This window comes from Homo sapiens, chromosome 4, assembly GCF_000001405.40.
Source record: "Homo sapiens chromosome 4, GRCh38.p14 Primary Assembly".
NCBI classification, from domain to species: Eukaryota; Metazoa; Chordata; class Mammalia; order Primates; family Hominidae; genus Homo; species Homo sapiens.
The window spans coordinates 32,825,374-32,827,614 of record NC_000004.12 but is presented as its reverse complement, the minus strand read 5'-3'; the positions used below and the strand labels follow the sequence as shown (position 1 = coordinate 32,827,614).

Genomic DNA, 2,241 nt, shown 5'->3' with positions numbered 1-2,241 from the left:
TGATAGGTGCAGCAAACCCCCATGGAACATGTATACCTATGTAACAAACCTGCACGTTCTGCACATGTATCCAAGAACTTAAAGTAAAATAAAATAAAATAAAAAGAAATAGACCATTGGCAACATCCTATAACTTCTAGATTTAACAGGTAATTAAAGAAAAAGAAATAAAAAAAGTGCTTGCATCAAGCACTTTATCATAAAAAAAGACTAGTCAAAAGCTTTTTCAAATTTACATAACAAGTAAAATCTTTAATGAATAAGCTAGCTTTAAATTATTGGTAAAGTAATACTAGAAATGTCTTAAGAATTGCCGGCATACATTTTTGTTTGCAATTATCCATCAAGCAGTTTGATACTTATCCCTGCCAAATACTGTAACATGTCAAAATTTGGCATATGGATTACAAAACTATACACCTAGCCCAAGACAGAAAGATCTTCACTGTGTAATCTTTAATAAATAAGACATTTATATTGGTTTAATAAAAAATAGCTACATCTTGAATTTAGCAACATTACCATAACTTTAACCTTGTGGCTTTAGGTGGTCTAGTCCATAAACAGTATGGTTCGTTTTGGGAAAGGACTGTTATCATCTCCGTTTCAAAGCTAAACTATAAACTAAGTTCCTCACAAAGTTAGTTCAGCCTACACCCAGGAATAAACAAGGACAGCTTGGAGGTTAGAAGCCAGATGGAATCAGGGAGGTCAAATCTTTTTCACTATCTCAGTTATAATTGTGTGCAATATGGTTCCATAACTTTAAATAATGACAATCAAAGATATTATCAATAATTTAGGTAAACAACTAAAATAAAATAATTAGGAAAAAATAATAGAATAGATATTTGTAGACAAACTCATCATAATTTAGAATTTAAAGTTATATTAAATTAAATAATACATATGCCTTTATCTGTGTATTTTCTCTTAAAAGTATATTTGTAGGAAAACACTCTTTAAAAAATTGTGTCCTTAAAAAAAAGTGAACTATTTTTATCTATTTAAAAGCTTATTTAAATGTCATGTATAAAAATGAGGTAAAAGGCACCAGGAAATAAAAGAAAGAAAGTTGTAAAAAATATAGAGGGTTTTTTTTGGTAAAAAAGCTTAAAGGGAAATAATTTCAGATAAGAAAGGCTCTTGTATGGTAAATTTAGTCTTAGAGTAAAATGACTAGTTGTTTTAAAAAGTGGGATGTTCAGGACAAACCAGAAAGTCCAAGCATATCATGAACGGTCAGTGTAAGTCGCAATAAGAGGATTTATAAACAACAACAAAAAAATTTCTATAAAATCAAGTTTGTATATCATTATTTAAGTTTTAGTTTGCTTAGGAAAAAATGAGATTAATATTTAAAAAAATTAAGGTTATTACATCCATGTATCCCTCTGCGTGTGCTTTTAAAGTACTGTAACAATGATCTACAGGGCTTTGACACCTGGGATCAAAAGGACACCAATCCTGCTAAATTTGAAACACTAATAGCAATTAAATTCCCATCTTCAGACCCTATAGAAGATGCCAATCAAAATTAGCACATTCCTGAGACACAAGGCCAGAAATTAAAGCTATTTTAGCTCAAGACCCAGGGACTATCACCGAAGAGGTGGGTGCATGAAATTGTAAGGGCCGATTTTGAAGGATAAAATATGTTTATTTACTGTATAAATTAATCATGAATGTTAAAGACACTGAAGCACGATGAGCATATTGGCCCCTGTGTCAAATTAACAAGATTTTCTTGAAGCATTAACTGACTCCTTAATAATGTTTATAAAGGTTATAAAAGGCTTATGGAAGTTGTATCTTGTGGTCAAGATTAAAATTTTATTGACTGTTTATAACATTTTCAAACACAAATTTAACTGGCTTAATGCTGTTTTTATTAGGGCTTATTGTATGGAATATTTAGTCTCCTGTCTCCAAGAATGAAGGTTTTTGCCTTTTTTGAAATCCTTCTTATCACTTTGGTCAAATGAATGATCCTATTTTGTTATATCAAGAATTTTAAACCTTTGATATTTGACAAATTTTCCAAAATCAAATTATAAGATTATATGTTATATATTTTTCCAACCTAATTAACTCTTTAAGATATTATGTTCCCTAAAGTCAAAAAATTACATAGTTTGGCTTATTTGGTACAAAAATTATACAGGAAACATTTTCAAATTTGAAATGGTGCTTGATTTACTCTAGGCCATATTTATATAAATATGTTATTGGTATGTGATC

The 2,241-nt window shown here is 29.6% G+C and overlaps 1 annotated feature.

Annotated features, from left to right (window-relative positions):
- Window positions 1,101–1,301: a silencer, noted in NCBI's record as "peak5018 fragment used in MPRA reporter construct". NCBI's record gives its function as "represses an SCP1 promoter by STARR-seq MPRAs in K562 erythroleukemia cells {active_cell/tissue: K562}" and the evidence as "EXISTENCE:reporter gene assay evidence [ECO:0000049][PMID:32103011]".